We start from the raw sequence: 21,054 nt of genomic DNA on the forward strand, positions 1-21,054 counted from the left end.
CATTATCCCATTTACATCTCACAATTCTATGAGGTTTGTACTATATGACTCCCAATTTTTCAGATGAAGAAACTAAAGTTTAGATGGGAGGAATAATTTCCCCAGGGCTTCACAGCTAGTGTAAGACAGAACCAGGACTAGAGCCCAGGTATTCCCTAGTCCACAGCCTGTGCTCGTCACCACCACCCTGAATTATTGTAGGGGAGGGAACTGGCTCAAAAAGAGTAAGTAAAGGGTATGTAACCCCGGTTCCACAGCCAACAGGTGGCAGAGCCAGGATTCACAAAGAGTCTGTCTTGACGTCAAAGCCAGGTTCTTTCACTAGAACCCTTCAACTCTGCTGCTTCCTGGGCCCATGGTGGCCAGGAGAAATTTAAGGGGAAATGTGATTCTTTCTGGAATGCAAGTTTGAACATGGTAGGATGGAAAGATCTAGGGCTGCTATTGAGAAACATGTGTTCTAGTGTTGACTCTCCATAAACTTGCTGGGGGGTGAAGGGCCAGGGGACGAGGTCTCAAATAAATCATTCTGTGTCTTCAGACAAATAACTGCAAGCCAGTTGGCTTTTATGAGCTCCCTAAGGATCAAAGCTAGAAGTGTGAAGGATTTGGACATTTTAAAGTTGAATATAAATGTAAGACTTGACTTTTAAAATTCCTTCTTAAACCATGTACCTTATGACAAGAGAAATGTTATACTTTATTGCTTAGATGAATAGAAATAAACTGCTTGTGGTCAGGAACCATGTTTCATGGTTCTTACAATACTTAGCACTCAAGTCCTTCTCCACTGTTACCTTGGAAAGCATCGGAAAAGGAATTTCTACTGCCAGGGAAGACATTTAAAATTTGGGGTAGGGGAGAGGTGTCTAGATTGACAACCTCAACCTATTGTACGCATTTAAGTAATAATTGTAATAGTTGTTAATATTATACCTAGTTAATTTACATAAGTAGAATTCTAGATCATTGCCTCGAAAGGAATTTAATCATTCTGCTTATAATTTGGGAGCTTTCTATATCGCTTATGTATTGTTGCTTATTAGGGTAGTCAGATTGACAGACTGATAATGGCCTCACAAAACTGTTAAGTTCATTTAGGACAGTGACTGCATCTGTAATGCTTACTCTGGGGTCTCCAGAGCCTCCCCAACACAGTGCCTGCCATGTAGCAGGTGCTCAATGAACATTCATTGAATGAGTAAATGAAGCTGTGGGTCCTCTTGTTTTGATTTCAAAGGGAAAAGTCTTGGTTGGCAAATACTACAGAAAAATTTTTAACTTTGAAACAAAGTATCAAGGCTTTGCATATGATGACTATAGCTTATCTTCAGTGGCTAAGTATAGGCTTTTATCACTAAATGCCTCATGTGAGTACTTAGCCACGTTGGTTCTTTCTCTCTAAACAAACAAAAGCCCCATAGAGGTTTTCTGGGGTTTTTGCTTGCTTGCTTTCTGAAGTTTTTACAGTTTAAAATGTGCAAACTTCAACAAAGGGGTAGACCCAGTAACTTGAATCCTGGTTGGATACATGTTCTGCTACTTCCCTGTGCATGCACATCACCACCTCCACCCACCCAAAGGGAAGATGCAGTGCTTGTCTACTATTCACAGGCAAGTCCTAGGAAAGATTAACCCACAATATTTGTGATGCAAGTTTTATAGAGGTCAACCAAGGGCACAGTTAGCTATTAGGTCACCTTGCAATGCAGGATAAAGGGAAGATAGGATCCAGGGTGGAAACAGAAAATGGAATGGTAAAACAGAAGAAAATGCCCTAACTAGAGTAAAGACTTGATATAGTTTGGTGTTCATCCCCTTGAATTCTCATGTTGAAATTTATTCCCAATGTTGGAGGTAGGGCCTAATGATAGGTGTTTGGGCAATGGCAGAGGTGGGGCTCCCTCATGAATAGACTAGTGCCCACCCACCCTGGGCAGAGGGGTGTGAATTCTCCCTCTGTTAGTTCCTGAGAGAGCTGGTTATTGAAAACAGTCTGCACCTCCTTTCTCTCTTGCCTCCTCTCTTGCCATGGGATGTCTGCACACGCTGGCTCCCCTTCACCTTCCACCATGAGTGGAAGCAGCTTGTGACCTTCGCTAGAAGCAGATGCTGGCACCATGCTTCTTGAACAACCTGCAGAACCATGAGCCAAATAAATCTCTTTTCTTTATAAATTACCTAGCCTCAGATATTCCTTTATAGCAACACAAAATGGACTAAGACAAAGCTTCTATTCAAAACCCAGATAGGGTCCTTGTTGTTTGAAGGATAAGAGGTACAGAACAACAGCACAGCTATAGGAATAAACCCCATATAATTCACTGGGCATCCAGTTTCTATTTATGAGGAGCAGGTACAGTTCATCTTTTATTTTTTATTTTTATATTCGTGAGAAAAGAAGGGAGATTATGAAAGTAAATATGGATCCCAGCATTAACAGCTGAATATATAAAGGAATTCAAGTGCTTTAATTAAAAAATTATGACCACAGTGAGATACACTTCACACCCATTGGGATGGCTATTATTAAAACATGGAAAATAACAAGTGTTGAATGAGGATGTGGGAATAATGGAGCCCTCGTGCATTGCTGGCGGGAATTTAAAATGGTGCAATTTCTGTGCAAAACAGATTGGCAGTACCACAAACAGTTAAACATAGAATATTACCACATGACCCAGCAATCCCACTTCTAGGTATATGCTATGGTTTGAATGTGTCCCTCAAAGTTCATGTGTTGGAAACTTAATCCCCACTGCCACATTGTTCAGAGGTACAACCTTTAAGAGGTGGTCAGGTCCTGAAAACTCTCCCCTCATAAATGGATTAATGCCATTATCTTGGGAGTGGGTCCCTTTCTCTCTCTCACCCATGTGATGCCTTCTGCCATGGTATGATGCAGCAACAAAGCCCTCACCAGATGCTAGTCCCTCAATCTTGGACTTCCCAGTCTCCAGAACCATGAGCCAAGCAAACTTCTACTGTTTATAAATTACTCAGTCTGTGGTATTCTTTCATAGCAGCAGAAAATGAATCAAGACAGTATATACTCAAAATCAAAATGGAAAGAACTGAAAACTGAGACTCAAATAAATATTTGTACCCCAATGTTCATAGGAGAATTATTCACAACAGACAAAACGTAGAAACAACCCAAGCATTCATTGATGGATAAATGGATAAACAAAATGTAGTATAAATATATATAATGAAATATTATTCAGCCTTAAAAATGAAGGAAATTGTGACATGTGCTATAACATGCATCAACTTTGAAAACATTATGCTAGTAAAATAAGCCTAAGATAAGGGACAAATATTGTGTAATTTCACTTCTACAGGGTACCTGAGTAGTCAAATTCAGAGTCAGAAAGTAGAATAGAGTTTACCAGGGGCTGGGGAAAAGAGATAGTGGGAATTATTGTTAAATGGGTGCAGAGTTTCTGCTTGGGATAATGGAAATTTTCTGGTAATAGTGGGGATGATTGCACAACATTGAGAATATACTTACTGCCATTGAATTATACACTTAAAATGATAAATTTTATGTTATGTATATATTTCTTTCTCTTTTTTTTTTGGAGACAGCATCTCACTCTGTCACCCAGGCTGGAGTGCAGTGGCGCGATCTTGGCTCATTGCAACTTCCCACGTTCAAGCAATTCTCCTGCCTCAGCCTCCCGAGTAGCTGGGACTACAGGAGAATACAGCCATGCCTGGCTAATTTTTTGTGTGTGTGTGTGTGTTTTTAGTAGAGACGGGGTTTCACCGTGTTGCCCAGGCTGGTCTGGAACTCCCAAGCTCAGGCAATCCGCCCACCTTGGCCTCCCAAAGTGCTAGGATTACAGATGTGAGCCACCGCACCTGGCCTGTATTTCTACAACAATAAAGATGATATTGTAAAACCTAAGAATAGGTTAATTATATTCACAATGTTGTACAACCATCACCACCATGCTCTGCTACCTCCCTCAGTGTAGGTCTGCCACAGTGCACAGCCAGGGGAAATGGAACCTGTTGGTGTTCATTGGCTGCTCAGTTGGCCTAGAATAGCTTTCCTACACCAGGAAATGGGGAGATGGGAATGCCAGTTAGCTGCCGAACCCACTAGAACGGCTCCACCACAACACAGAATTGCGGGGAAAGAGGGGCTATACTCCTCACCAGCTTCTCCGCTCAGCTCCTCCCCACTGAGCAGCAGCTGAGGGTGGGGGAAACTGTCGCCTGGATGCCCACCCAGGAGAGATCTTCTGTCTGTATAGGCTGGGGAGGTGGGAGTTGCCACCTGGCTGCCAAGCCCACTGGACAAGCCACCTGGAGCTGGGGAGGGGGAAGGGTGAAGATCCTAGCTTGATTGCCATGGCCTCTCACTGTTACTACTGAGTTTCTGTAGATTTGTTGAATAAATATTCCTTAAATTGTTGTAAGCCCTTTGGCCAATCACCAAAGATTTTTGAGTGATTGTCTTTTACCTGTTTAATAGATGTCTCCCTGGGAGAGAAGTTTCACTGGCATCATTACATTATCATTCTGGAAGCTCCTCTCTTCCTCATAGAGTTTTAATTAACCATAGTGGAAAATGCATCTTTTAAAATAGCAGCATTTTGTAGAAGTCCTCTTGAAGGCTTCTCCTGATAAATTCATGTATCAATCTTGGTCTGATGGAATTCTAAGGAGAAGAAGAGATAGTGGCTGTATCCAATTGCAAGTATATTTAAAACCTTGCTGAAGATGGTGTAGTAGTAGCCAGGCCCTTCGCTCAGAGAGCTAACAGTCTGAGTAAGGCAAAGCATTTGAGTAGATAAACCTGAGATCAAAAGTAAAGTATCCCTGCAGGAAGGTAAGGAGATTAATAGCATGGAGGCATATGGAGCTTTTGGAAATAGAGCCATTTGAAATCCACAAAATCACCTGTGTCTTCAGAGAGGGGCTTAGAGTGACTTCTAAGGGGATTAGACCCTGTTAACAGTGTGCTTCAGAGAGATGCATCAGTATACCTGACGAATGTTTATTGAATGTCCCTGGGGAGGCTGACATTGTAATTATCTGTTTCTGAGGCTCTGCATAACTTTGCTTTGATTTTTGCTTTTTTTTTTTTTCTGTAAGGACTTTGCCGTTACTGGGGATTTCATATTTCTTTTATTTTCAATTGGTTTTTAAGGAGGGAGAAGAGGCAATTGACTCTATGCCATTTGTATACAGTCTTGTAAAACCACTGCTGAAGATTTGAAATATTATTCTGACTTGAATAACTTGCCACTCCAAGTGAAGCTGTTTTCTTCGCTAGACTTGCCACAGTTTGGAAGGGAAGCTGTCCTTCAGCAATGATAAATGACACAGCAATTGTTTCTGCAAGTCCAGAATGATGAATAGATCTTGCTTCATCCAAAGCTTTATTTCCAAAAGCTTTGACACAAAGAGAGACCAATTTCATTATTGCTACATTCTAGAAGAAGAAACAAAACCATTTGCCAGCATGCTTAATATGATGAATTTCTAAGCTGAAAGCACTATCCTTGTAATCTTTTTGATGTCTCTTAATATATCTATCCATTTTCCTTACAAAGACCGTTTGTTTATTAAGATCCATTCTGTGAAAAGAGTCACATGGTGTATTTCAAACGTCCGTTTAAAATGATTCTTCAGGTATGATGCCAGAAGTTTTAATAGCCCTCCGCCTCCCCTTCACATTGCCTGTGTGATCTCTGGTGTGTCCTGCCAAGTACCCTCACTCTCTCACTTTCGTTGCCCAAGTGCATTCTGAGTAGCAAGGACTTCTGCTTGGACTCATTGTTTGGGTCAGGCTCAGAGAGAGCTCTTATGTTTTTTCTCATCAGCTAATAAAGATAAGGGGTGGCATCAGGGGAAGCATGCCTTAGAGATGAAGGGCAAATGGAGATCTTTGATTCAAAGAATGCGGCTCCATCACTTTCTCTCTTACATAAAAATTCTATTCATCCCACACTTCCTACTGCAAATCACATTGGTACACCATGACAATGCAGTAGATACACAAGGACTTTCCCACATCACACTACAAACACAGCCACCCTCTCTGGGGAACGTAAGAGAAACTTTTGGGCTTCCACTTCCCCTCCATTTGTTTGAAGGATCAAGAGAACACTGTTCCATTTTCAACAAAAATTAAAAAGGAAAATCATGAAAAGAGCCAACCTCCTCTTTTTTGTTTTCTCCCTTAATATATTGTTGCATCCAGGGAAGAGGAAACAGTGAGCGCCACTGATACTGGGTCCCCAGGGACCCCATAAGGGTCACTCCCCAGCTATCAAATGAGCATGTCTTCCTCCACTTGCAGAGTGAGTTTTTAACGGGAATGGAAGTTACTCTTGGCTCAGCTCTGATGTTGAAAAAAATAAAATAAAAAGAAAAGAAAAAAAGAAAAGAAAAAGAAATGCCACAGTGCTTCAGGGAACCAGGCTGTGTTCACACCTGGGTTTTCACAGGACAGAGATTTTTAGCTTTAAGGCTTTGGAGATTTGGAGAAAGGAGATTTCAGAAATCATTAGCCATGTTCCTGCCAGCCTCAGCAGGCCAGCTAAGAACAGTGTGTTCCTTAAGGGCAGGAACAAATTCCTTCCACATGTTTTGGTGTTTTTGTTTCTTCTTAACGTGCTATCAGTGATGCCATGGGCCAATTAACTTTGGGACTTAAAATGTGACGATATCTCATTTATTCTACACCGTTGCTAAATAAGATGATCATGGGATAAAATTTTCCAGGTAACTGGACTGTCATCCTTTGAGAACTGTATTTTAAAAATGGAAATGTATCTGGACTCCATTCAGTGAATAAAAACAATAAAGACTGTTAACTCTTTGATTGTGCAAGTTCATGTTCATGGGTGTATTACTTCATTGGCTGTATCAAAGATGTCCTCAAGGTCTATGGAGATGAAAAGGACTCTGCAGCCTCACATGATGGTCTTGAAATTCTAGCCTTTCCATTAGTTTTCTGATCTTCTAACTCAGTGTTCATTTGGCATTGTTATTCTGTCATTTCTTCCCAGAATCTGTGTCTGAGAAGCCTCATTGCCTTCCTCAGTCTTGACTATTTACTTCTTCACCAGTTGTAACATAGGCAAAACTGAGAGAAACCAGATGGACTTAGTTTTACATACATTACTTAGTAAATCTTCCCTCCTGCCAACTAAGTGAAGAGCACGGTTTTCATGACAGCATAAAAATCTAATTGATCCCTTCAGTCATTATGTGAGGAGATGGACTTTATATCAAGTGGCATTTTATTTTGAACTTAGAAAAATATGCATCTTATTACAATTTACCTTCAGTATAACAAGTCCATTGGACCTCCACGTCAGATTTTGAACCATTCATTTCTAAATTATTTGCTACCTCCTTAATCCAGGCCAGTATTATCTCTCAGAGATTATGGAAACTGCCTTTTGATGGTCTTCTAGCATCATCCTGGCTTTCTTCCAACCCTATCCACTATAGTCAGAATGAGCTTTCAAAAACTGAATCTCATTATTTCACCTCCTTGCTCAATGGCTTTCCATGTTAGCCTCACCTTGCCGCACACACCCTCTCCTGCTGTGCTCTACCACACCGTCTTAAGGGGTGAAGAGAGGCAATTGACTCAATCTTGTATGTATACACTCTTGCAAAACCACTGCTGAGGATTTTAAATATTGTCCTGACTTGGATAACCTGCCATTCCAAGTGAAACTGTTTTCTTCGCTAGACTTGCCACAGGTTGGAAGGGAAGCTGTCCTTCAGCAATGATAAATGACACAACAACAGTCTGTGCAGGTGGAAGATGATGAATAGATTTTACCTTATCTATCCCCTCATTTGACACAAGGTTGATACCAGTTTCCTAGAAGAAGAAACAAAATTATTTGCCAGAATGCTTAATATAATGAATTGTTAAACTGGCCATACTTTATATATATATATATATATATCTCCCAGGACCTTTGCATCTGCTGTCTGCTCTATCTGGAATGCTCTTCTCTCTTTCCCTGGCCTGTTTCTTCTATACTTCAGTTCTCAAATTAAATTTCACTTCCTCAGATAGGCAATTCTTCACCATTTTACTTAAAGTAGGCATTCACTATTATTCTCTGTCTAGGGTAGAGCATGTGGATAGACATATGAGAGTGAACACAGAGTATGAAAATCTTTATATCACATGTTAATACACATCATTAGATAGCATCTACCATGGAGTAGACATTAAATAACCTGGCAGACAAAAATGACCTCACCAGTTGACTTCAGCCACCCCAGTGCTGGAGCAAAGAACATGTGAACAAAGTAGCCACATTGGCAGACATTACACACGGGTCCAACAGCAAGAACTGCATTTACAAAGGCTGATCTAGCTACTACCACTGCTGGATATCCAACATGCCAACCATGAGGACTGGTGATGGGTTTCCAGTATGACACCACTGCTCAAGAAAACCAATCAGTCACTTGGTAAGATGTTGACTCTAATGAGCTCCTTTCATCCTGAGGGGCCAGTGGTTCCTCATTACAGGCATAGACACATACTCTGGGTATATGTTTGCTTTTCTGCTCATGGGAACTTAGCCAGCACTACTATGCAAGGGATGGGGTTATGGAATGCTTGCTATGTTGGCATAGAATCCTATATAACATCGCATCAAGCCATGGCCTTCAGCTTATAGTAACTGAGGTTAGAAATGAGCCCTGGCCACAGGATCTACTGATCATATCAAATATGCACCACCCAGAAGTGGCTAGCTCCCTACAGTGCTTCTTGGAGGCAATACTCTGGAAGGATGGGGTGCCACCCTCTGGTATATAATTGAATCAAAGACTTTTATGTGCTGCTATGTCCTAATAGAAAGACTGCATAGGTCCAGGGACCAGGAGAGGAAGTGGGAGTGGCCCCGCTTGCCATCACTCCCAATAACACTCTGGGGTGATTGGCGGGTTGCAGGGGGTGGTGGTGTTGTACTTCTTATCATGTAACTCTGGGCTCTGCAGGGTTAGAAACTCCCATTCTCAAAGATGGTACACTTTCACCTTGGAACATAGCAAGAGTATCATTAAATTATAAGCCACAGCTGCCACCTGGACACTTTTATTCCTTGCCTCCAGGGTACAGAAGACAAGGAGAAGACAATCACCATCTTGGCAGAGGTAATTGACCTGATCATCAGGAGGAAGTAGGGCTGTTGTTACAGTGGGTCAGGAAGTATAGTATTGAACCCAACGACCTACTTAGGCTCATTTTGATACTTCCTGGCCCACTTGTGATGTTAAATGAACAGGCACAGCAACCTTATTCCGCAAAAGGCATATGTCAAATAGCATATGAGCTGCTGTAACGAAACACCATAGACTGGGTGGCTAAAACAACAAACATCTATTTCTCACAATTCTGGAGGCTGGGAAGTGCACATCAAGATGCAGGCAGATTCAATGTCTGGTGAGGGCTCTGTTCCTGGTTTGCAGAGAGCTGCCTTGCTACATCCTCACATGGGAGAGAGAGAGAAGGCCTAGTCTCCTCCTCTTCGTCTAAGGGCACTAATCACATCATGAGGGCCCCATACATAACTTAAATCCAAACCTAAGTGCCTCCCAAAGACCCTACCTCCAAACACCATCACATTGGGGATTATGGTTTCAAGATATGAATTTTGGAGGGACACAAATATTCAGTCCATAGTAGCATGGTGACAAGGGCTCAGACCTCTTGCAGATGAGAACCTGGATGAAATCACTAGGAAAACCACCAAGACTGCCAGAGGTGGTATCTGATGGTGAGGGGAGTCTAGACTGGGTAATGGAGAAAGAGAAAATGAGTATCAGTTTTGGTCCCTAGATTCATTGCAGCTGTGGGGGCTGAAATTTGTGGTCACCTTCTCTTCTAAGTTTTCAATCGAGAAGAGAAGCCCACTGGAACCTGCAGGAGATGCTTCATGAATATGCATGAATAAGTGGACTGGGGTGAGGCAGAGATGAGTCACCTAGTCTCTCTTCAAGGAAGCACTTGCACCTGAGCTATGAGAGTGCAGTTGGCAGACAGCCTCCACCTGCCAGCTCCTTCGGGGTCTGCCTCAGTTGCAGAGAGTCACACCTTTCCTGGGGAAGCCCACATCTGGTGACTGAGCCAGGCAGGGGTGTAGAGGAATGGACATTTCGGTTCAAATTGGCACAACTCTGATGGGCAACATTTGCCCCAGAGCTGCCCACCATGCTGGCTGAGGCTTTGTCAGGGCTGCACTGCAGGTTGCTTTCTTCCTCTGCTCAATCTTTCTTTCCTCTTCCCTCTTTTTACTGGTGTTCATCCTTAATAAGTAGCTTCCATCCAAATTTGTCTCAGCATCTGCTTCCAGAGAACCCAACAGGCTATAGGCTATATGCTTTGCCTGCTACAGACAAAGGAGAAACTTGCTAACTAGGTAATTTGGGGCATATACATACATATGCGACTATGTAAACCACCTGGCACAGTGTGCTTGGTATATCACAGTGTTCAATATGTGCTGCAGTTTTGCTGTTTTAAAGGGAAGCTCCCCAAGAATGGACAGTCCCCCATGCTGACACAACTTTGTGAGGTTTCTGCTGAGGACAGGAAGCTGAGTGCTCAGTCTTCTGGCCACATTGTTGACAATCGCAGTACCTAATTCTTTTTTTTTTTTTTTTTTTTTTTTTTTACGGAATCTCGCTCTGTAGCTAGGCTGGAGTGCAGTGGCGCGATCTCAGCTCACTGCAACCTCTGCCTCCCAGGTTCAAGCAATTCTCCTGCCTCAGCCTCCCGAGTAGTTGGGACTGCAGGCACGCACCACCACGCCCAGCTAATTTTTGTATTTTTAGTAGAGACAAGGTTTCACCATGTTGGCCAGGATGGTCTCGATCTCTTGACCTTGTGATCTGCCTACCTAAGCCTCCCAGAGTGCTGGGATTACAGGCGTGAGCCACTGTGCCCGACCTTGCAGTGCCTAATTCTTAACTCAGCATCACTGTGAGCCCAGCACATTCCAAGTGTCTTGCATGTTTTAAGTCATTTCAACAACCCAGTGAAAAAGGTAGAGTTCCTAGTCCCATCTCACAGATAAGGAAATGAGGTGCAAAGTGGTTCATGAACTGGTCTGAGGTCCCAAAGATTGGAAGTGGGAGAGCTGGGCTTTGAACACAGGCCACCTGGGAGCAGAATTTGGGCTTTTGCTTATAGCGTCTACTGCCTCTTTGTTGAACTTTATTTTACAAAGAATGTGAGGCAGAATGAGACAATCCTGCCTTCACCTCCCACTTGCCTGTGACATCCTTCCAGAATAATTTTTTTTCTGAATAGGAAAGGGCAACAGGATGAGGAAGATGTCACCTTCCTGCAGATAGATTGAAATTCATTCTTCTCTTTCTGAAGCCTGAGAGAGGGAGAATCCAACACACTTGTATCCCTGGGGCTGAGGAGTCAAGCACTGGGAACCACCCTGGCCGAGGGTATAATGGAAGGAGTGAGATGTTGACAATGTCAGCTTCCTTGCAAAATTTCAGTTATCTGCAAATAATTAACTCAGCTTTTTCAACATGTCTTTATTTGCTTAAATTAACAAAATATAGGTTACATGCTCTTTTCAGGTAAACTGCTTTTTCAGTGAAGCAGAAAGCAATATTCACAACTTGGGCTGCTATATACTTAGAGTTTTAGTTTTTAAATAGCAAGCCAGAGTTCTGTACAAAATCAACATTTGGTGTAATGTTGTCCAAATATGCGAAGGATTTCAAACGTTAGCTCTGTTATATTTTGTTCCAGCAAAGCAGACAAAGATCATAATTCAAAACACCATGTTAATATTTTATTAAATGCGTTCAGGGCTTAATAAATACAGTATGCACATTGAGCTTTCTCATGCAACTACTCATATACAAATATACCAGTTACTCTTGTGGGTTTATGAAAGGTCAGCCTTAGTCTCATGGCCGGTGGGGAGTCAAATTTTTAAAAAGAGAGACAGAAAGAGGAATTGAAAGGTAACATGAGGAGTAATCATAGGAAAGAATAAAAAGAATAAAAGAAAAATATGCCACTTTGCTGGTCCATTGATTTGTTCAAAGTGACAGTGGTCAAAAGGCTGGAAAGCATTTGGTAGTGACCTATTTTCAGAGTCTCACAATATGATATTCTGGTTTTGGAATGCTGGTAATCTTGGAAGGCTTCATCCCTTAGTTCTCTGAGATGGCCCACATGGACTCTCCTTCAAGGCTTGCCTTCTGGTTCATCAGCTCATTAGGCAAGGCTGGCCAACCCTTCCCTTAACTCTGTGCTCTTGCATAAAGTGTCCATGTAATTTCTCACCCAAACTGGAATACTTTTGAGAATTAAGGTGACACTTGAATAATTATCCTGGGACAACAGGTCTAAACCACGATCATCCCAGGCAAACCAGGATGTTGGTCACTCAACAGCATACAAAACCAATGTTTTAGCATTGGTGCTCAGGTTAATGCTGTATTAACCATCAGGTTAGATCTAATTAAGTGTCTTATGCCCAGAGTCAACAACTAAAAACAGGCCCTGGAATACACTCCATAACAAATTGTTTTTATTTCTCCTAGACCTTTTTACTGCCTCCAAATAAAATTTTACTTAGAATGCTAATGTATAAATCAGATGGAACTTGAGCTGCTTGGAGTGAGGTGGGTGTGGGAGTTGAGAGCTTCTCCTCCCCTTACCACTCTTCAGAGGCCTAAAGATGACCTCTGGCTTCTCAAAACACAATCTGAAAACCACCATTCTAGACCATACTCTCTCTGTCTCAACATTAACTGGTCCCTCAAACATTCCCATGAGGTTTGTTTTGGTTGGAAAGGACTAGAGCCTGTTACTCTAGAATTTCCTGGTTTCCATTCCAGCCAGGCATACTCAGAACCAAACGGCATTCTACAGGACGTGTGGTCAAACACAGCACATAGTAGGTCCTCAACACATGGCCGCAGTGTGAATAAATGTGTAACCAGACCCCAAGAGCTGGAAGCCTCCCAGGCCACACTGCCAGCATCCTGGGCAATTTCATCAGAGGCACTGATGAGCTATATTAATACTGAATGGAAGGGACTTGCCCCTCTGAGGACTTGGAATGGGTTTTTGACCCAGAGTTGTGCTTGTAACCACAGAAACCCACAGTCTTCTCTTCACAATCTCCGTTGCAGGTGCCCTTACCTCAGGACATAGTACTCTTAGCACTTCATGGTGGTGGGGAGGCTGACAGGAGAAGCTTTAGGCAAGGTGGCAGGGGAAATGGGTCAGAGATGGACACAACACATGGGTGAGTGATGACAACCAGGTGGGGCTAATGGGGCAGCACCTTGGCCTACAGAAAAGGCCAGCCCCCAGCAGTTGGAGATGGACATGTCTTCTAAAGGAATGTACTGGGAAATCTGGGATAGGATGAAGCACAATAATAACCAGTACCTAGCTCTACAAATACGAGTCAAAACTACCAAACAAGAAGTTTTTACATAAACAGACACAGTACCAGAGGGTTATTGCTATGGGCAGTCACACGTACACGACACCCAGTCAGTATTGCTTTTCTCAGTGCCAGTGCCTAAGTAAGTCTGACCTGCTGGGCCCATCCCACCCAATAGAGTCATTTCCACTCACTGGCATCATGGTTCAAGCATCTGGGAAGAAATAATGAGTCACCATAGGCCAGTCATGCATTTTTTAAACATAGTAAGTGACCATAAACATCACAGGCATCATCTTCTAGTATAATGTAAAAAGTGTGTATCTATATATAGACTGTGTGTGTCCGCTCATAAGGCTCTTACAGACAGGTAAGAAAGCCTAAGTCAGCAGTATGATTGTGAGGTCTCCTATTCTCAACCTTAAAGAGTCTGAGGCTAGGAACAGAAATACTTATGAAGTCTCTGGGAAGTGTCCTGGAAGCCACAGAAATGGTGAGTTCTATTTTAGTCCCCTCAATCTTCTCAATCTTGGCTGCACATAAGAATTGCCAGGAGCAATTTGGAAAATTTCAGTCCTAGGGCTCCACTCCAGATCAATTAAATCAGAATCTTAATGGGTAAGGCCTTGGTTTGGTGGTTTTTTTTTAAAGGTCACCCCAGATGCTTCTAATGTACAGCCAGCACTGAAAACACAGTCCAGAGTCTTCTTTACTAATGATTTGCTGTCAACTATTCTAGTACCCCAAATAAGTCAGAGCTTAGATTTCTGGGAGAATTCTCTGAGGTCACCCCCCCAGCTCTAGCTCTGAGGAGAAAGCCCCCTGGTCACTGGTGACAAGTCTTCCTGCATCTGTCCTTTTTTTTTTTTTTTTTTTTTTGAGGCAGAGTCTCACTCTGTCACCCAGGCTGTAGTGCAGTAGCGTGATCTCAGCTCAGCTCACTGCAATCTCCACTGCCTGGGTTCAAACGATTCTCCTGCTTCAGCCTCCCGAGTAGCTGGAACTACAGGCTCCTGCCATCATGCCTGGCTAATTTTTGTATTTTTAGTAGAGAAGGGGTTTTGCCACGTTGGCCAGGTTGGTCTCAAACTCCTGACCTCAAGTGATCTGCCTGCCTCGGCCTCCCAAAGTGCTGGGATTACAGGCGTGAGCCTCTGCGCCCGGCCCCTGCATCTGTCTTATGGGGCATGAGGCCTCAGAGCAAGACAGCAATGGTCTCCAGGAGGGAGCCGTGCTCGAGAAGTGAGGGTTTGTCTGAGGAGCCAGGGCCCCAAACATCATCATATCATCTGAAAAATAATGCTCCAAATGCTCAATCTGATGAAGACAGCCGACACAGAACAAGAGAATCTAAGTATTCTAGGTCACCAGTTTCCCTTAGTCAAAATTATTCTTCTCCTGAAATTTTACCTTATATCTGCAGCAACTACTGGAGAGCATTCTCTTCAATAGCTCATCCTCCTGTGCCATTTCTGACATTTTTGGTTATAGAATAAAGGCTATTTTTATATATATGACGACTAATATTTTCATCTATATGGAAAATATTATAACCTTCACAAATTCACCTAAATAGTTATTAATAAGGTGACACCTCAAGCACCATATTTTTGCAATTAGAAATTTACCATGTATTGCATATGAATCAAAGGAAAGTAGAATTTCTAAAAGCACCTCAGCATCAGCTTACAATTAGATATCTGGAAGAATACTCACAGTTTATTATACTGGCAATGCATAAAACGCCACTGATGAAGACCCTGCACATGTGTGAAGGGTATCAAGGGCCCCGTGAATGACCTGAGAAGGCTTTCCATTACCTACATCCCTGCTCATTTAGTCTAAGCCATTTGTAGAGATTGGTACTATTCGCCAGTCTCCAGAAAATGACAGTTCATGCAGAAAGCTATATTTGAACTGCCTCCTTCTCATTTTCCAAATGTAATTTTAAAACTGTCCACTTAGATACCTAAAAGCACTGCTTGTTTTTCCATTTTCCTCTCCAGTAATTCTTTCAAACTCTCATCTCTGTGCTTGAAGTATAAGTAATCAGAAAAAGAGGGGCCCCGCCGGGTACTCTGAAAAGCCCTGAGACTGAGACACTCATCTCTGCCGGCACAGTCTCTCTCCTGGCCGCCCTCTGCCCCAAGGTCACCCTTGCTCCTCTTCTCCCATTCTCCCTTGGATGCATCCTCCTTCTCCTCCTTGCAGGCTTCCTCCAGCACCTCGGGGGCGTGCTCCGACTTGGTGGACAGATCCTCGGGTGTGCAGAGCTGCTGGCTCTGGGGGGCCAGGCCAGGGCTGTAGGGCTCCACCTCGTAGCAGTTATCCTCCTCTTCCTCCTCGTGGCAGTGGCTGCCCTGGGCACTCTCCCCGTCTGACTGGAACACCGGCACCTTGGCCCGGCGCTTCTGAGAGAGGTCAAAGGGCTCCTCCTGCTCCAGACTCCTCAGGACACCGGCTGTCTGTGCCAGGGCGATTCTCCCCCTTCCCAGACCTGCAAGAGCAGAGTAAGAATTCATGCACCTGAGGAAATGCTGTGGAAATGGGACCTTGAGGAAGGGGAGCAGCCCGGGGCCGTTTAATGTATTCCGATGCGTATTTTAAAAATAGATCATTCCCAGTAAGGATGTGGTCTTGGGAGGCTTGTAACAGACAGTGTCCAAATCGGTTTAATCCCTTTAAGGTGAATTTGGCAACATGCACCAAAAGCTTTAAAAATAAGCTTTGACTTAGCAATTATGCTACTGAGAATTTAAACTGAAAAAATAGGCAGGCAGGTGCACAAAACACTGTGTGGATGCATATCACCATATTTTTTTTTTATCACAGTCAAACAATGAAAAAACTTTGTATTTAATAATAGGAGTTTGGTTAAATAAATAATGATATATCCATATAGCAAATTATGCATAGGGGATGTAGAGACCTACTAATGATCACAAAAAGATATTTGCTATGTATTTTAAGTAAAAACAAAAATATATGTAAGTATGTGTGTGTGTATTTATTTATAGTGCAGACCTGATTTTATCTAGCTAGCCATTTCTATTAAAAAATATTTGGAAGGAGGGATGTCAAAATCTTAAATTAATGAACACTCTCTTTTCACTTTTAATGTATTATTGTTTTATTTTTTACCATGAGCATATGTTTTATCATAAACAAAAGTAAATCAATAATAAAGCCATTTTCATCTTGAACAAAACAAAGAGAACCTATTTGGGGCAGCAGACACCACCCCTGACTGTGGCCCCTTTGCCAACAGCCTACTCATAGACAGGGTAGAGATGGCATGAAGAGGTCCTCTGAGGAGCTCACACAGCCCCTGTGTCTGACCTCCAGTGTCCCTGCTGTTGGGCACAGTGATTCAAGGAGGCCTCACTTTTGCCTTCAGTTTGCAGGGCTGTAGGGATGGGCTTTTCAGCATGGCAGTTTCATTTGATCCTGTCTTTAAGGCTTTGACCTTTGATGAGCCAATAGTCAGGCCTCCAGGGATGGGCGGGACACTGAGGAGGAGCAACAGGAAGGGAGGGGTCCTGGGGTGCAGCCAGACCAGGCTTCTGGGAGGGGGTGAAAAAAGAAGGGTAGGGGCGATGATGTCCAATTTTGTTCACTTTTTGATGCTGTCAGGCAATGAAGCTGTCTGTATCTTTAATCCTGTCAGGGGACAGGAAAGATCTTTTTAATGATTTTTGAGCCATTTCAAAAGCTAGAGTGAAAAATAAAAGCTAATACCCTTTGTAGATGAAAACACTGAGATTGTTGAAAGTCTGTTAAAATTTTTCAAAGCAACCCTCTGATAGTTATTTTTCCAGAACAACAGAGCTGTTAGGTGTCTTTTAGGATTTGAGCAGCAGTGTGGGGTAAATCATGGCGACCAGGTCATGCTTTCAGTTGGAGTGTGGTCTCCTCACTGACTTGTATGTCTCCCGTCCTGATGACAGAGCAAACCTCACCGCTTCCGGAAAAATCCAGGTCTAGCTTGGGGAAGTGGCTCAGGCAACTAGAGATTCAGTGAATAATTCAGGGGAAAAACTTTTGCAGGAAAAATAAAATTGTTTTTGTTTTAACTACAATTTTTTTCAGGGCTTTTGCACAAACTCCAGCCCTTTTTTTGTGACCACAGCTCCCTGTTATCCAGGAGTCACTAGAAACTCAGCGGGTACTGTAAAAAACCTGAAAGCTACAATCATTTTGTTTCACACTGTGTGTGCATATGTCTATCTGTTTATGAATATGCTTGTCCACTCCACCATCTCTTTTGTAAGGAGGTGAGTGAAACAGCACATAAACAAATCACCCCATGTTTCTGCCTAGGGTAGTGAGCACTGGCTTGATTCAGAAATTGGGCTGGAATCCCAGTTCTGTCTTCAGACTTGCTGTTTGACCTTGAGCAGTTTATCTAACACCTCTAGGCCTTGGTCTCCTCTTATATAAAATGAGAATAACACAGTCTCTTTCACGGCATTGTAGGGCCAAGCAATAATGTCCCTAAGGTGTCTCACCCTGTGCTTTGATCATACTAGTGACCGAAAAGCTGTTAATATGATTTTGCAAACACAGACATCCTAGAGGGCAGATGGTCTCCTTCCCCTAGTATCTGCCGCTGCGTGTAGTTCACTGCTTTGGACACAAGTGCATTTATTGCCTGTTTATTGAAGGGCTGGTTGATTAGACGATTAAGGAGCAACCCTGCTGAATTGAGTAGATCTGGAACATAAACTCTTCACTGCCAAGGGCTCTGGGACTGAGAAGGTAAAGGCAGTGAGAACTTTTCATTAGTTCAGTGAGGATTCAGTGGGGGAGGTGTAAACCCCTGCTCTGCATATGGGCCAATCAGCCCTACCTACCAAGCAGGAAAATTGTCCTTGGGTGTGTCTGATTGTGAACAAGTAGGAAAGACCTAGCCTGCTACCAACATACTTCTGCTAACAGTAAGGCTTGCACATCTGTTTTCTAAAAAGGAAAGAAAAATTGCGTGCCCATTCACAGCAAAGTCATGAAGAGGATACAATAAAGGCTGCACAGTCAGAAAGGCCTAGGTTCAAATCTTGACTCTGCCACTTTTCAGCAGAGCAACTTTGGGCAAATTGATCTCTTGAAGCCTTCATTCCCCCGCTGTAAAATAGAAATAATAGAAGTTCTTCCAGCTTGGAGTTGCCATGAATATTAGCGACAAGCCACCTGATGTAGTGTCTGGAACAAAGGAACAAATAATGGTACCGACTGGCATCATGATGATAGTCCAATTTACTCTAATTCACTTGTACTTACTATGTCAGAAATTAGCATCAGATTTTTTCTAGTAACATTATAAGGTTACTCTTGCTACTCTGCTGTGGTCTTGACAAGAATAACCCTCAAGGTAATGCCCCATAAAACGAATTCAGCTCCCATTTGTTGTCCACTGGACTGACTTGCAGGGCTTCCCAGAAGAGTGATTACCTTGGGAATGAAGGCCCCGCTCCATGACTCCATGCTTGACTTTCATGTGGCGTGTCAGGTTCCCCTTCAGGGTGAATTTGCTTGGGCAATAGAGGCACTTGAAGGGTTTGCTGTCTGAGTGCAGGTGCATGTGGCCCATCAGGTTGTGCATCCGGTTGAATTCCTTCCCACAAAGCTGTTGAAGATGGGGATGAGAACACAGGTTACTCTGCCCGAGTGAAGCCCCATCCAGGCCCCTGGAGCACAGATACCGTTTCTACTTTGTTTGGACATTGACATTTTAATCTGCTTGCAAGGAAAATGTCCATAAGGAAATCAGGAAGGAGCCTCAGAGGTGGAGCAAGTAGGGGTAGATTCATGAGATTTGTTCCTGGATTTCAGAGATCTTTAAATTCAAAGTAAAAATATCAAAGCTTGTAAAGCTTCTTTTGAATAAAAGCTTTTGAAAAGGAGAAGAGCTGATCTAAAAAGCAGTGGCTACAAGTGTTCCTCCTTTAATAATAAGAATGTGATTATGTGTTTAATATTTATGCAGCATTTGCAATATGGAAGGCATTGTTCTAAGTCTACCATGGAATATCTTATTTAATTCTCACACCAATCATATGAGATGGTTGCTATTACCACCCCCATTTTACAGACGCACAATCTGAGGACTTACGTCACTTGGCCGAGGCATACAAGTGGTGGGTGCTGAAGCTGGGTTAATGAACTCAGGCCATCAGATGCCAGAGAACACATGGTCAACCACCAGACCATACTGTGCGTCTCCCAACACAACTCTTCTGTATCAGGCAGAAGAGAATAAAAGAGTACACTGTATTCTTATATACAATGTATTATTATAATACACTGTATTATTGTATACAATGTATCAGACAATGCTTTTTAAGTTGCTTTATTTTCTAATTACTGGCATGGATTTCAAAGATAAAAAAATGAAAAATCATCTAAGGAAGGAGTGTGTCTTTTCTCTGGGTAGAAATTTGAAGTAGTGAGAGTAGTATCTCAGGTGTACAGGAAGTAAGCATGTTTTATACTCTTTCTTTCTTTCTCGTCATTCTCTCTATTTCAATCAAAGTGCAAATACATGAAGGACAACTGGTTCTCCAACTGCTTTTGGAAGAGGAGCAGAACTTTCTTCTCACAGGTGATTTTGTATATGCAGAAAGCGCAACCCAGAAGCAGACTTCTCTGGGGGTGCTTTTGTTGTCCCCAAGCCTTACTAGAACAGGACAATTTCAGCCCTTCCTTGGCTGTGGCAGGAGGAATGCAAACAGTGATTTTGTGTCTGTGATTGGACAAGAATGTTAAGGGAGGAGAATTCTCCTTCCCTCCCCAACCTCAGAGGCCAGTGGAGCTGGGGCTGCACTATGTAGTGAGAGAGGCCACAGAGACACTCAGGGTGAGGCATCCTCTGAGGCTTACACCAGTTTTCCTTTCTCACTGAGATATATTTTTAGGGCCAATGCTGGGGATTCTGGACTAATTTTTATTAATGAAGGCAATAATTTCATTAGTTGGCTATGGGAGATGAGTGTTGAGCTCGTCTTGAAAGAGTAGATAGACCTCTCAAATGATGATTTGGGGAGTTTAGCGTAGAAGAATGCTGGGTCCATGTATGGATAATAAATGGCTGGTTCTGTATTCTTGAATGATTCATGTTTGAGAATTGTAAGTACTTTCCTCACTTTTGCTCTCTCTTACTAGCATGAATGAATTTGGCCTACAGGGTGGGGTTCCAAGCTCAGCATCCAGACAGAGCACCTGCACACCACATTCATTTGAAAATGGTGACCTAAGAGGGGAAAAGGATGACAGAATTGGTCTAATTCCAACTTTCTCAAGAAAAGCAATATGTAAGATAGATGACTCTTTTATTCTCAATTGAGATAATTTATTAAGATGTATCAATCTGTGGCTCAGCATGCACATGTATAAAAGTTCTATTAGAGTTGTATTTATTAGCTTAATTTGCCCACTTCTCCACCATCATGGCTGAAAGGTTTTTTTTTTTTTTTGAGATGGAGTCTCGCTCTGTTGTCAAGGCTGGAGTGCAGTGGTGCCACCTTGGCTCACTGCAGCCTCCACTTCCCAGGTTCAAGTGATTCTCGTGCCTCAGCCTGCCAAGTAGCTGGGACTACAGGCGCCTGGCTAATTTTTGTATTTTTAG

The 21,054-nt window shown here is 42.7% G+C and overlaps 1 protein-coding gene across 1 annotated transcript in view, besides 1 other annotated feature; it reads right to left on the reverse strand.

The window, feature by feature from the left end:
- Positions 9,924–10,013: a silencer, noted in NCBI's record as "silent region_16081". NCBI's record gives its function as "represses an Ori minimal core promoter by ATAC-STARR-seq in GM12878 lymphoblastoid cells {active_cell/tissue: GM12878}" and the evidence as "EXISTENCE:reporter gene assay evidence [ECO:0000049][PMID:35858748]".
- ZNF366 (zinc finger protein 366) overlaps positions 11,542–21,054 on the reverse strand; it is a 67,508-nt gene continuing 57,995 nt past the window's right edge. The window contains exons 4-5 of the mRNA NM_152625.3: positions 18,882–19,056; positions 11,542–15,930 (exon numbers count right to left, since the gene is read on the reverse strand). Of these exons, the coding sequence (NP_689838.1) occupies positions 15,395–15,930; positions 18,882–19,056 (711 nt within the window). The 3' untranslated portion in view covers positions 11,542–15,394. The remainder of the gene's footprint in view (positions 15,931–18,881; positions 19,057–21,054) is intronic.

This window comes from Homo sapiens, chromosome 5, assembly GCF_000001405.40.
Source record: "Homo sapiens chromosome 5, GRCh38.p14 Primary Assembly".
Lineage (NCBI taxonomy): Eukaryota > Metazoa > Chordata > Mammalia > Primates > Hominidae > Homo > Homo sapiens.